Source organism: Homo sapiens, chromosome 14, assembly GCF_000001405.40.
Source record: "Homo sapiens chromosome 14, GRCh38.p14 Primary Assembly".
NCBI classification, from domain to species: Eukaryota; Metazoa; Chordata; class Mammalia; order Primates; family Hominidae; genus Homo; species Homo sapiens.
In genome coordinates this window covers 37,598,478-37,612,914 of record NC_000014.9, presented here as the reverse complement: position 1 = coordinate 37,612,914, position 14,437 = coordinate 37,598,478, and the positions used below count along the sequence as shown (strand labels likewise).

Sequence of the window (14,437 nt, the reverse complement as noted above, 5' to 3'; positions counted from 1 at the left end):
TAATTTTTAGGATAAAAATCCTGAGGAATCTACAAAAATCTATATGTACTAAGAGTGAAAGTATCAAGGTTGCACAATACACAGTTAACAACATACAAAATCAGTTCCATGTTTATATAGTAGCAGCAAGCAACTGGAAAATATTTTTAAAATTCCACTTACACTAGTGCCTCCACAAAACATAAAATTTAGGAATTAATCTGACAAAAAATGTCCAAAATCTCTACACTGAAAATTACAAAATCTTATTTGCAGAAATTAAAGATCTACATAAATGGAGACATATCATGTCCATAGATTAGAAGACTCAATATTCTTAAAATCACGATTCTCCCAAATAGATCTATACAGTCAATGCAATCCCAATAAAAAATACAGCAGGTTTTTAAATAGAAATTACAAGCTGAATCTAAAATGTATACATAAATTCAAATGACTTAAAATCACCAATGTGATTTTTAAAAAGAAAAGGCTAGAGGACTTGCACTATCCAATTTCAAAACCTATTATAGTAAGCTACAGTAATCAAGGCAAAGGTCATGGCAAATCATTATGCCAAGTAAAGGAAGTCAGACACAAAAGAGCATATACTGTATGCTTTCTTGTGTATAAAATTCTAGAAAATGCAACCTCTTCTATAGTGTCACACAGCAGATCCGTGATTGGTTACATGGTGTGGGCTAAAAGCAGGGATGAAGAGCAAAGAGGGCAGAAGAATGAAAAGGTTCGGTTATATTGATTGCAGGAAATGTTTCAAAGGTGTATGAATCTGTCAAAACTCATCAAATTGTATGCCTGTACCTTGTACATTGTACAACTGTTCATTTGTGCAACTTACTGAATATAAATTATGCCTCTATAAAGTTGTAGATATGAAAAAAGCAATTTGTTCAACTTTTAGATTTGCATGTTAAAAAAAAAAACTATTGATCTCCTTTAAATTTCTGCAGCAGTAGTTTGCAACAGTTCCATTGTGGGTCGTGGGTTTCAATGCCAACAATCCTTGCATTAAGCCCACAGTGTCTCACCGTCCACCAAGGAGTTGGAGCCAAACTCAGGAAACTGGTCTCTATTCTGAAACTACACACATCGACCCTAGTGGGGCAACCACCTACTGGTGGTTGAGGTTTACTCAAAACAAGCTGCCCTGTAAAGGGACAGCAGAGGTCAGGTAGATGGAAATTAAAGTCCCTCCACTGTGACCTTTCACCTCCCGAAGTCTCTTTGAATCCCCCTCTTTCTCCTTCCTAGCCTCTTTTTCTCTTGTCCCCACAGCCCCGTGGGGCGTCGTGCACCTACCTCTCCCTTCCACCAGGTTCTCAATCCTTCCAGCTCCTCTTCAACCCGTGCTCATTCTCCCACGAAAGGCAGCCCAAACTCCAGCCCCAGTGCCCCAGCCCCTTTTTCTACCCTGATTTCTGCCGGGGTGAACCTGCCACAGCGGATTAGCGAGGCGGAACAGAGGGGACAACCGCTCCGCCCAAACAACGCACCTCTCCTTCGCAAAGCGCCCACACGAAGTCACCGCGCCCCAGGCCGCGTTCTCCTCTCACCCGGCATCGAGGGCGCCTCCGCTCCAATTCAGGTGGCGGTGAGCTTGGCCCCGCCGCTCGGCGAGTGTCCAACAGGCCTTTCCTGTGCCTAGGGGCCGGGTGGGCTCGACTGGCTCCACCGAAGAGAGGACGCGCTCGGTCGCCCAGCAACGAGCCGCGCGCCCTCCCCCGCCCCGCCTCTCCGCGCCTCTGCCCTGTAGGAGCCCCCAGCACCGTGGCGCCCACCTCAAGTGCACCCGCCTTGCGGGACCCGCTCCGGGGCAGCCTCGGACTTGGACCCCAAACCCAGGCCTCACTTCTCCCGGCGCTAAAAAGACGCTGCTCCCGAAGAGCCTCTTGGACTGAAGCCGCCTGGATTGGCAGCTTTTGCGGAGCTTAACCAACTGCTTACTTAACACTCTTGCTCTTTCTGCGTTTAAAAGAATAATGCTGGACCCCGAGACTTAAAACTTCAGCTTTGGGAAGCAACACAGATGAACGTCTCACAAACATAATGTTGAGCGAAGAAGCCAGACACCGAGGGGTACATAATGTATGATTTCATCACACAAAGTTCAAAAACTGTGGTGCTTATGGATGTAGACTCAGCTGGTGTATTACAAATAAACACAAGAAAGTGATAACCATAAAAGTCCAGAGAGTAGCCATCTTGGGAGTGGGACGGTGATGGTGAGTGGGCAGGCAGTACTACGGCAGTCGGGATGCTAGTTAACATTCTGCTTTTTAACCTTGGTGATGGCTTCTCAGATTTTCTCTTTGTGATAAACCATTGTTTTGTGTTGTGTTCATTTTCTTGTGTAATATCTCACCATTTTTTAAAAGCTCAAAAAGAAAAAGAAAAACCAATTAGATAATATAGTGTAGATGAATGTGCTTTGCTCAGTACACTTAGCAGGCCCACACATGTTTATTTTATATTCCTCTGTACCAACCCCTCTCTCTCCAAATTCAGGCAACTAAAAAATGAGGTGGGGAGAATGGCAGATAAAATGTACTGGAGTTTGTTGCCATGAATAGTCAAAAGAAATAAACGCTCTAGAGATCCTCCATGAGATCTGTGCTGGAAGAGGGCAACATGTTTCTCAGAAGTTCACGATAAAAGTCTCGTGCTCCACAGTTCCCTAGAGCGGGGCCTCTGAACAGCCTTGCTTTGGAGACTGATGCACTCAGGCATCCTCAGGCCTCCCAGAAGGTAGCTCCTGCTGTAGAAACAGACAAAGCCAGCCTGGGACACACAGCTTTACCATGTGGGCCAGTTGCTTTCCCTCTCTGGGTTTCTGCATGCTCATCTGTAAAATTGAGATCATAATCCACCCTCTAAGGTCTGTTATTTCACTCCCTAATACAATGTGTTCAAAAATGGTTGCTGAATGCTCTCAAGATGAGAAGCATTCTGCAGAAAAAGATCTGCCAACCCTGCGATTTTACTGCATTTACATCACATCTCACTGCCCTGTGAGCACTCTGTATGGGCAGCTTTACTCTAAGTGTAGGAGTAGCCGCTTCAGGCCAGGAGTAAATTACTTTTCCCTGCTAATTAAAATAATAAACAAATAGCCAAAGTGCTTGTGAAGTGACTAATTGTTCATGGTACCATCCCGAATGCTGCACAAAAATAATATACATGCCATGTTCCTAAACTGAAAAAATAGTTCAAATTAATGTAACCTTGAAATATGTCTATCATATAGTCAGGAAACAATTTAAATGACAAATAAATAGTGTTCATTAATACTTTATGTAATCAAAAAACAGTAACTAAGGACTCAGGTATCCATACCATAGGATAATACAATCCATGAACTAGGCAGTATTATCATCTTCATTGTACAGATAAGAGATTGTACAAAGAGATTAAGGAATTCACCTGAGGTCCCCTAGCTAGTAATCCTGTGCTAGGAACCTCTGTTCTAGGTCTAGTTTATTGATTGATTGATTGATTGATTGAGACAGGGTCTCACTCTGTCACCCAGGCTGGTGGGCAGTGGGGCAAACACGGCTCACTACAGCCTTGACTTCCCAGGCTCAAGCAATCCTCCTGCCTCAGTCTCCCAAGTAGCGGGAACTACAGGAGTGTACCAGCATGCCCAGCTAATTTTATATATATATATTGTAGAGACAGGGGTCTCTACACTGCCCAGGCTTGAGCTTTTGGGCTCAAGGAATCCTCTCACCTCTGCCTCCCAAAGTGCCTGGGTTACATGCACAAGCCACTGTGCCTGGCAGATCTAGCTTCATTTTAAAAAGGTGAGAGTGGGAGACAGAAAAAGTGGGAGGAGGAGGAGTTAGTTATTGATTTAAAGGTATTTCAAACTTGTTGATATTATAATGCCTTCATATGGAAATGTTAATACTTCAAGTACATCTTAAAGAGAGGGGAATTAGACTCAAACGAGCAGCATAAAATCATTCAAGTAGTCATTGAAACACTATGATTTCCTCTAGCTTTTGCCACTTTCCAACCACCACCCACCAGTCCTCTTGCTACCCAGCTTCAAAGCCCCCTGTAGTTCACTACAGTATGAGTGAAAGCAGGGCCAGTGTGACTTTCCAGCTCCCACACCTTTGATGTATCACCACAGAACAAAGTCCGAACACAGTTCTCCAAAGAGAATTTGAGGCTCCCCACAATTAGGGCCCACCTAAAGGTTTATATACTTGGGAAATAAAATATTAAAATCATGTCTTTACTTCATATTGCGCACAAAATAAGTTCCAATTGGATGAAAGATTTTGATTTTGTGTAGATAAGGCTTGCAAGCACTGGTGGCTCACACCTGTAATTCCAGCACTTTGGAAGGCCAAGGCAATAGAATCACTTGAGCCCAGGAGTTCAAGACCAGCCTGAGCAATATAGTGAAACCCTGACTCACCTGGCAAAAAAATTAGCCAGGTGTGGTGGCATGAACCTATAGTCTCAGCTACTCAGGAGGCTAAGGTAGGAGGATTGCTTAGGCCCAGGAAGTCGAGGCTGCAGTGAGCCAGGATCTTATCACTGAACTCCAGCCTCGGTGCCACAATGAGATCCTGTCTCAAAAAACAACAACAACAAAAACACACACACACACACACACAAAAAAAACTTGTAAGCGCTAAACCATAAAAGGCAGAAACTATAAATAAAAATACCGATTGTTGAAACATGTGCATTATGCATTTAAAAATAAAATTGAAATGCAAATAAAAACCTGGTAAAAATTTCACAATATTTATAGCAGACATGGGATCAATATTCTGTAGATGAGAAGTAGACACTCCAAATTTTCAATTGGCTAATGAAGGTGTGAATGGCAGTTCCAAAAAGAAGAACTATTGTGGCCAATAGAGATATAAAAATATTCAACTCAACTAATCTCATAAATACAAATTAAAACAATGTTATGCAATTTTCATCAATCAAATTACAAAGTTAGTAAGAGTATGTGCATGGGAGTGAGGAAACAGGATTACTTATAGATTTCTGAGGGCATCCTGCTAGATATCATATAGCAAAATGTCTCAAATGTCTTAAATATAGCATTCTGAGCAACATAGCAAGACTCCACCTTTACAAGAAAATTTTAATAATTAGCTGGGCATGGTGGCATGCACCTATAGTCCTAGCTACCTTGGGGCTGAGGTGGGAGGATTGTTGGAGCCCAGGAGTCCAAGGCTGCAGTGAGCTATGATTGCCCCACTGCACACCAGCCTGGGAAACAGAGCAGGACCCTGTCTCAAAAAAAGAAAAAGAAAAAAAAAAAAAAAGACTAAATACTTGCATGTATTTTAACCCAGAAATTCTACTTTCATGAACTTTTCCTACATAGAAGTATGCAAAATTTTCAAATAGTAATATTGAAACATTGTTTTAATCTTTGGAAGGCAGAATCTTGTCTTCAATTTAGTATCTTTAGTATCTAGCACAATGTTGGCACATAGAATTCTCATTGATGGTCACACCTAAATAATGTCACTGGTTTAGCACTAGTCAAGACTGAGTTGTTGCCAGACACAGACCTGAAAAGGACTGAGCTCTAGACTTAATGTTCTAGAGATGAGGAACCAAAGATGCTGAGGCCTTGGGGAACACACAAGGACATTTCCCATGAGCCCCTCGGTCACTGGACCTAGTTTAGTGTCTGCTTCTATTAACACAACTCACCACTAGCAAAAGTCTCAGTCCTTGATTTATAGCAAAGCTCAGTTTAGCATTCCATTTACACTTTACACCTCCAAAGGGCTTTGCTTACATGTTCTCCAGCTATGGTAATACACTAGAGATTTTGCTGAGTTTGAGGTCAGAGCCATTCCTTTTCTAAAGGTAGATATGCAAGACTGTTGTATGTGCTTTGTAGCCTAAGTCAAAAAAACTTGATACTATCAATATTTTATTTTAGCATCAGTTACTTTAACAATTATGTCAAATGCAAATCAGCAAATTAAAATGGCAAATGTAATGCAAATAAACTCAGAGTGTGCTTTCCTGCTAGACCCATAGGCAGCCTTTCCTGTAGAAACCAGCCACCACAGAAATCCTGGAGCCTTCATGGCTGTACTCCAAGATGGTGACAGGGAAGGAGTAGAGCCTTTTGATGACTTACAGGATGAGGATGAACTGGAAAGAACTGAAGACATCATACCTCACTTCCATGAATCCTTGTTCCTCTCCTCATCACTCAGGGCCCCACAGAAAACAGATGGCATACAGGAAAGGGTTTTCCTAGGGAAAAAAATTTGAAGGTGGGATTAAAGGGAACTAACAAGAGAAAATGAGTCACTCAAGGTCTAGCAATATTAGGAAGGTATTGACACTTTTGATCTGAAGGGGCAACGGGGGAAAAGGAGGTGTTAACAGAGACTGGCGAGAGCTGAAGCTGTGGAAGAGGAGCTGCTGATGGGACTGTAGAGACAGAGAGGGGAAGTAAAGGACAAAACCACAGTGATGCAGGGAGAAAGCAGGAAGCCTAAGTACTCCTAACACTCTACCCTCCTGCCCTTCAGTCCTGCACCATTGTCCTCCATTGGTCAAACCCATTTGTAAGTCCAAAGGCAAGGAAGACTAAGTAACGTGGCCTAAAGAGAAGTAGGCAAAGGGGGCAGCCAGAGAGTATAACAGAGAATAACCCCCAGAGTCCCCTACCAAAAGTTGCCTGTACTGCCATTGATCCACAGAAATGAACACATTGAGACACCTTCCATTGCCTTAGGGTTCTCCCTGGCATTGATTACCTCCAGACTTCTTCAAGCACCTGCTCACCCCACCTTACCCATGGTAACCTAATTAACATCTGCCAAGCTTCCTTCCAGATCCCAAACTCCAACGGGGTTCTAACATCTAAGCTTATGGAGTTCAGAAATGGACCCCTGGGAAGTCAGCTACCACTCTTCTTTGGAGCACCTTGGAAGTCTGGCATTGGGGCATGACCTCGGGGGTTCTTAAGGCAGGATAAAAATAGCAAGCACTGAGCAGACAGAAAAAAAAAAAAACCTGTGAATAAAACTATCCATTTGAAAAAGAAAAGATACAAATAACACTAATGAGCCTGGTCTAAAGCAGGTGTACTTGGCCAGGAATTAAGGATTTATTTTTCTTGGAGGTAGTAGCTGATGTTTAGCATTCCATTTACACTTTACACCTCCAAAGGGCTTTGCTTAGATGTTCTCCAGCTATGGTAATACACTAGAGATTTTACTGAGTTTGAGGTCAGAGACATTCCTTTTCTAAAGGTAGATATGTAAGACTGTTGTATGTGCTTTGTAGCCTAAACATTGAGCTTAGAGAACCAATGCCTGGTTTATGCTTAGAAAAACTAACAGCTCTCCCAAGTAAGCTGTAAAAACAGAAGCTGCATTTAGCCAGAGATCACTGCCTGAGACTTCTGTGTACCATCCCACTTCCCCCATACTCACTCACCCACATACCAATCCAAGAAAAATTAATAAGCTTTGAAGATGTGTTGTTTTTCTGTTTTCCAGTGAAGGATATATTTTATTTTATCCACCCGGATCCTGATTACTGAGTGAAGCAGAATTCAGAAACTTACTGAAGCTGCTATGCAGGACCTTCTTAGCCCATCCAAACTCGTTGTCTAAAATTTGTGGGACATTTCTCATGAAAGAGTCCTGGATCCACAGCTGAACTGCAGCCCTTCCAAACTTCATCAATAGGAGGGTTTAATCAATTTCTGGTCTTCACTTGAGCAGACATATCTATATCTGAGCAGACAAATCACTGAAGCCCCTCTGTGATTTGGTCTTTTCACAGACTATATTGTCTGTCTTAATTAAACTTTAGCATCCCACTAAGCTTTCTTGCACATGCAAGGTAACATTTAAGTCTTTAATATTGGAAGCATACACCATAAGCCCAGCATGCTCGTTTCATTTCAGGTGGACTTCAACTCCCAGGAAGAAACTTTTAGGGAATTTAAATCAAATAATTTTTGAAGAGAGCAACTAAAGCTTCCTTGATATAATGACATCTTGGGTTTTCAGGATTTTAGAAAATGTCTAAGTATACTTCTCTAAATGAATCATAAGTGGTCCTTACTGTCCATGAGAAGGGCAGAGGAGGAAGGAGAAAGTGTCTAAGTGAAATCAAGAGTCTTGCTTTCTCATCTCAGTTCTCCCCAAGTTCAGGTGCTGAGGATGGACTGGCTTCTCAGAAGCCCAGATTTCATTTTCTTCCTCTTCCTCATCTCCCCTCTCCTTCCCGGGTGCCTCCTAGATCCAAACCACAACCCCGTGTTTGCCTGAGGTACACATAGCCAGGGCGATGATCGGGGTCTCTGAGAGAGGCATGCCCAGACACCCAACGCCTACAAGTTCAGCTAGTAAATTCAGGCGGGCTCCGACAATACTCTCAGGAGCCCAGGAAAGGCACAGGCAGACTCTTGGGGAGGCATCCTCCCTCTCTCGCCTAGGGGGAGGAAGGGACAATGTGTTCTGCTACCCCAGTCTGGTTCAGAAGGACCTAAAGGGTAGGAGGTTCAAGACCTCTCATCTCCTCTCCCCTTGAACCACCTTACCCCAGAAGGTCCTTAATGTGAACTTGATGCAGTCTCTGGATCTCCTTCGGATGGTGCTTTTCTTTTGTCATCCATCACTGACTGGGTGGAGAGTAGCTCCACCAGTCAAGGAAATTAGGAAATTCCAGGCAGGGTCCTGGTGGACACTGAGACTCCGCCCCCCGGCAGCCCAGTTCCCATGGGAGAGCTCCCTTCTCCTCCTGGACTGTAGCTTGGAGGAACTGCGACAACGCAGAGAATGGTGACAACATGCAAAAGATCTAGAAGGCAAAGCACAGGAGGCATACCTGGTCAGCAGCCCCTGACACTACATGTCCCAGCATCCAGCACCTCTCAGGCTCCCAGAATTGTGGGGGATCTTTTTGTTGCCACTTATTGCATACTCATTCTACACTCAACTGGTATGAGGTGGGTACTCCCATGCCCATTTTACAGTTGGGAAAACTGAGGCTCAGGGAGAGCTAGTCCCCTGCAGTATCTCGATTGGAATCCAGGTCTGATTCCAAGCCGGAATTGCATTGAACATGTCCGACTGCACTGTCGATTGCATGGAATACGCCCCCAATGGAGTTTGTCTAATGAGTAAAAGTCTCAGAGATCTTCAGCCTCAGACACAAGTGGCCTGAGCCTGCCAGCCCTAGGGAGAGGAGTGTGTAGAGTGCTGAGCCTTCGCCTCGCTGAGGAGGCTTTGCCTGGGCTTGGAAATTGGGAGGACAGGTTGGTCTGTCTCTTCTGCTGCTGCTGTCTTTGGAGACGACAGGCAGTGAAAAGGAGGAAAGCTTTCGCCCTAAATTTACCATAAACCGTATACCACAAACCTGGATATTCAGCAAAAAGGAAGGAAATTTTTGCGGTGCCAATTATCCCAGAGTCTTCCTCCCTTTCGGGAAAGTCGCTTCACCACTTCTGGAGCTGAGCCACCCACCACCACAACCACCATAGCGGTTTCCTTCTTAGGTTCACACGGGTTCCTCATTTCCCTGGGTGAGGTCGTCAGGGCTGACTCTCATGCCAGCCACTACTCCAGACTTTGTTCCTACAACTGACGATTGCCAGAATCCGGGCATCAGGTCCAGGCTCCTCACTTGGGAAAAGAGGAAACGGAGGCACAGAGGGCCTGGCTGGGTTCCCTAGCATATTAGAGGTCGGCAGCACTGCGGTCAGCGTCAGAACCATGCTGCCCCACCCCAATCCTAACGCCAGGTCCGCATCTCCACACAGCTTCTGCAGTCTTCGCTTCTTCTCTCTCTCTGTCATCTCTTGGGACAGTGGTTTATTCCCATCCAGCACCTGCAGGAATTTGTGAAGCTCCTGCTGCAGTGTAAACTGACCTTCAACCCCAGCACTGGGCTTTATTTATTGAAACTACTTCTCTTGGCGGGGGTGTAGGGAGAGGTTCATGAGGAGGTCAGTGGAGACCAGCAATTCACAATGGAAGGTATTTTGGCGGGAGGAGGCCAGTGGGGTGAGAAGAGTGGGATCCATGCCACCAACTGCATCCTCAAGCATTTGAAAGAAAACAAATCTACACCAGATCTGCTAAAACTCGAAACCTGAGTCTCTAAGGTGGGTGAGGCTTGATCCAAGTTCCGACCCCCTCTCCCCCACCGCGGTGACTGGGGCAGGGGTAAGGTGCAGTTTGGAGAAGAGGACCTGAAAGCAGGAAGGTTGGGGTGCAGATCCTCCGCCGCATCGGAGCCACGGCTGAACCGTGGGTTCAGTGGGTTCATCCACCCGGTGGGACAGTGGGGGTGGGAGGAACATCGAGGACACCAGATGCGGCGGAGGATCGCACAGCCTTGTGCCTTCTCGAGTGATAGCAGCCCAGAAGAGGAGGTAGGCATATTTACTCTTGTAACGTCTCCCCCAACTCCTGCTTTCGTGGCAAATAAAATTTAAGGATGAAAAAATGACACGAGAGGTCTCCAGTTATTACCTTGCCACAACACTGCAGGTTCTGAGATTGGTGGTCCTGTAAGGAAATCATTACATTACACATGGCAAGTGTGTAGACTAAAATACTTTGTATCTTATGTAGAATAAAATACTTTGTATCTTATGTAGAATAAAACACTCTGTATCTTATGATATAAGACAGAGAGGCAATTAAGGTCAACGCCTGGTAGTTTCAAGTGCGCTGTCTCCGCCACGGCCAGCTAAGAGGCCGGTACCGAGGAAGATCACTTCTGTGACACTCGGTGCGCAAACCTGCCCTGCGGGCGCGCAGAGCCCCAGGCGCCCCCAAGAGCAGGGGCCCCAACGGACACTCAGCGCGCTCTAAGCCGGGTGCGCAGCCTCGGACTAATAGAGAGCTCTAGTGCAAGGCTTTTCCTTCTCACTACGTGGGCTCGGCTTTATTTGTTTGCCAATTTAAACATATTATTTAAACACCGATGTTTCCTTTCCAGCTCCTAGTGAAAAGTGTTGCCTGACAGAAAATTCGTGGGGTTCTTCAACTTTTAGTCAATATCTGCTATTGAAAGGTGTGGATGCTGCCTTTCTACAGCGAGGAAAAGTGAAATGTTTGATTTTGGGTCACACGTTGACCACCCTATATGGGCAAAGCGAGCTGCTGATTCTGCCCACGTCCAGGTGCCCAGGAAAGGGAGCATTTATTTGTTATGCCACCCGATTATACTGCTTAAAATCAGGCATTGATGACAGGGTAAGAGCCAGACCCAATGGGTTTGGAAGCTCAAGGTTCTCAGGTGTCTGAGACCCTGTTCGCTGTGCCAGGGCATCTTTCCCATCCAATTCTTCACTCAGTCCATCGGCCCATTCATTCCACAAAACCTTTGTTTTCCTAGTGCACCTAGCTGAATCAAGTCCCTCAGATCCTCTCACTTGGGGACTTTGGATGTGATGGATATGGTTTCTAGACTCAGGAATTCTTCCCTGATTGAAGCTAACCTGGCCAGTCTCAGGGATGGGCTAGTTAGTTGACTGACTCAACAAATCTTTATTCAAAGTCTACTATGCTACAGGCTTTGCTCTGGCAGCAGGAGACACAGCAGTGCCTGCCCTCAAGGAGCTACTAGACCAGTAAGGGAGAGAAAAAAAATGAAAAATAAACAAATAGAATTTGCTGTCGATGTGTGATAAGAACCTGGCAAGGCATCCAGAGCAAGGTGTGGACCTAAGGAGGGCAGGGCTCAGTTGTTTGTGAAAGGCTGCAAAGTTTTTAACAGGGACTCCAGGAGGCTGCTCTGGACTTGCCACCACAGGTAGTGTCCAGTGGTGGCTGCTGCATTTGTTTACTTTGATCCATGATTCTGGTAGGCAACCAAAATTACAACATTCAGAAAGTGGTCAGAGTTCCTGCAAATCTTGCTAGTAACCCAGCAAAAGCAAATGCTGCCAAGGAGGCTGCTTCATAGTGTTTCTGTTTAGAAGCAAACTCACTGCAAGGTAAGCTAAGCAGTAGTTTTGCTCTGTGGTCCATAGAACAAGGAAAATCAAAAAACTTTATGCAAATGCACAACTCTTAAAACAAAACTTTCCTCTGATGTTAGCTCTTGGAATAGCTGCTGGAAGTCCCAGAAGCAGCCACCCAACAGTGCTCTCCAATCGAATTTTAAGTAATGAAGATAATCTCCCTCTAGGCATGCCAGTAAATTAGTCAGCAGTCCAAAGCATAATTTCAAAATATGGGGGGAAATCAGAAAACTGATACAATGAAAAACTTCCGGCAGAATATATTTTTATTTTCTTTCTAAGTGAAGGATATGGCATATGATTCTTATTAAAGCATCTGTTAAATAGTGCCATGTAATTTGAGGGTAATCACATATGAATAGCCAAAGCTAAACCACCAGGGACAACTGAAAGACCGTGGGAAAGCTCCTGGGTGTGTGGGGGGAGGGGCGCGAGTGGATTGGCGGGGGCTGGCCGGCCTGGGACGGAGAAGCTAAACACTGGTCGACCCTTCAGGAAGGATTTAGATTTAAGCTGCCAGCCTTGAGGCAGGAGATGAAATAGTTGACTTTTCCAAGCCCCTCGGCTTCCATCACTGCTCTGCATTAACGCGGGCTTCTGCTGATGGAGAGGAATGGAGGTCCTGACCTACCCTCGCCCAGGTTTCCAGCCTCCCAGCTCTTGCACACAGGAGCAGCAGGTGGGGAAACGCCAGGATCTCCAAGCACCCTGCCAAGTCTGTGGCACGCAGTAGGACCTCAGCTGCTCAGGTCCTTTCTGCTCTAACGGATACCTAAGAGGTGTCACGTTTCCCTCTAATTTTCCACCTCTTTGTGTGAAGCGTGCATTGCCAGTCCCTCCCCTAGGCCCCTAGCCCTAGGGGTTTTAAAGTAGAGCGGGAAAGCCCGAGGATCCTTTCAGCAGCACAGAGCAGAGACCGCGCTCCCCAGGAGGGGGATCGGCTGGATGAGGAGGGACCGGCTGGGGCTGAGCACGTCCTCCAACAGGCGCTGACCGGTGTGAACAAAAGTCAGTAACTCGGGGGCCACAACGGCGGGAGACGCGCGCGGCCGCGGGGACCCAGGTCTGGGCGGGGTCGCCATATCGGTTCCGGGGGCCTCGAGGGAGGTTTGTTCCCGTTTCCGCGAGGCCCTAGGGGGCACTTCTTCCTTCCAACGCTGTCGACTGCCCAGCAGGGGAAATCGCCCTTCTCAGTCTTTCTCATTTGAATACATGAAAATGCGAGTTGATTTTGGCAAGGCGATGCTCTCCCGTGGCCAGAGGGACGGTTTTGTCGCCCGCGGGCGAGGCCGGGTGGGGAGCAGCTCCGGCTCCGACATCCGGCTGCGGGTGAGCTAGGTCCGCGCCCGGAGCAGCTCAGAAACCCGGCGGCGCTCAGGCAGGAGTAGGGGAAAAGACAAACCCAGTGGCTGTTTTTGTTTGTTTGCTTCAATAAAATAAGTGAAAGCCCTGGGTATGTTTATGCGTTGCTTTTACACACAAAGACACACAGACACAAGCACACGCACACACAGCCGGGGTTGAGGCCCGTTACGGGTTAGGACTCTGTACAGAACTGCCTGCAAAGGCCCGTCAAGTGGTCCCAGGGCCCCTACCTACTACAGAGTTGTGAATTAATCCCTTAAAGATTTAATGATGGAACCAAGGGAGAGAGGAAGGAAGATGAGGAAGAAAAATAAAAGGAAGGCAGCGAAGGAACGGAGTTCGAACCCTGGCCAGGCCCATACTTCTCTCTCGCGGGGGACCGCAGTCTCGCGGCTCCCTGGCCCCTTCCCCAGCTCGGCGCACACATCCACCTGCGAAGGCCAGGCACACGCACGTGTGACCCCTTGTTTCCAGCGTCCCAGGCCTTCCTCACTTCTAAGCTGAGCCGTGTCCCAGTTGGGGTCGGCTTTGAACCGCGTTAACGACCACAGGTCTTAGTTTCATTGCATCCGATTCTCCCCTGCAGAAGGAGGACTTAAGCTTCTTATCTGGGTGGGGGGTGGGGGCCCGCGGAGGAACTCGAACCACTCCACACCAAGCATGGCTGGGTTGCTGAAGCCGTCACCTGACAACAACCCCGTCCAGGGAAGGGTAGGCAAGGAAAGGGGGCAGGCGAGGGACAGCCACAGAGGGAAGCCCTGGAGAGACTCGAATGGGCACCGCAGAGCCCCGCCGGCCCAGGCCCTGCTGTCTGCCAACCCTGCGGTCCTGCTAAATAGGAAGGACCCTGTCGCCGCGAGAGGCCGCCGTCTGGGCCCGGGGCCCGAGGCCCGAGGCCGCGGCCTCTCCTTCCACCTTTCGCCGTCGTCTCCCTCTGCTTCTACCTGCCTGGTGAATATCTGAGGAAGGGGCTCCCAGCCAGATCCTGCTGGGAAGTGTAAGCTGAGGCAGCCAAGCGTGGTCAAAGGACCGAGTGCCGCTCAGGTACTGCGGGACTGCGCCGGGAGCAGGCCCCAC

At 46.9% G+C, this 14,437-nt stretch overlaps 1 protein-coding gene across 12 annotated transcripts in view, besides 2 other annotated features; it reads right to left on the bottom strand.

The window, feature by feature from the left end:
* The window catches only part of TTC6 (tetratricopeptide repeat domain 6), a 247,089-nt gene that overhangs the window by 229,803 nt on the left and 2,849 nt on the right, over window positions 1-14,437 (bottom strand). For 9 of the 12 annotated variants that reach the window (XR_007064009.1, XR_001750287.2, NM_001310135.5 and 6 more), the window contains exon 2: window positions 6,173-6,252. Coding sequence is in view for 6 of the 12 variants with exons in the window: in XM_017021254.2 (XP_016876743.1) it covers window positions 6,173-6,205 (33 nt within the window). In the remaining 6 variants the exon portion in view is untranslated. Of the gene's footprint in view, window positions 1-1,493; window positions 1,691-6,172; window positions 6,253-14,437 lie in introns of those variants that run through there. The other 3 variants (XM_047431332.1, XM_047431333.1, XM_047431334.1) reach the window with 3 other exon arrangements.
* Window positions 12,390-13,059: an enhancer, noted in NCBI's record as "H3K4me1 hESC enhancer chr14:38069061-38069730 (GRCh37/hg19 assembly coordinates)". NCBI's record gives its function as "activates a minimal SCP1, AML or CMV promoter by ChIP-STARR-seq in primed H9 embryonic stem cells {active_cell/tissue: H9 hESC(primed)}" and the evidence as "EXISTENCE:reporter gene assay evidence [ECO:0000049][PMID:30033119]".
* Window positions 13,060-13,731: an enhancer, noted in NCBI's record as "H3K4me1 hESC enhancer chr14:38068389-38069060 (GRCh37/hg19 assembly coordinates)". NCBI's record gives its function as "activates a minimal SCP1, AML or CMV promoter by ChIP-STARR-seq in naive H9 embryonic stem cells {active_cell/tissue: H9 hESC(naive)}" and the evidence as "EXISTENCE:reporter gene assay evidence [ECO:0000049][PMID:30033119]".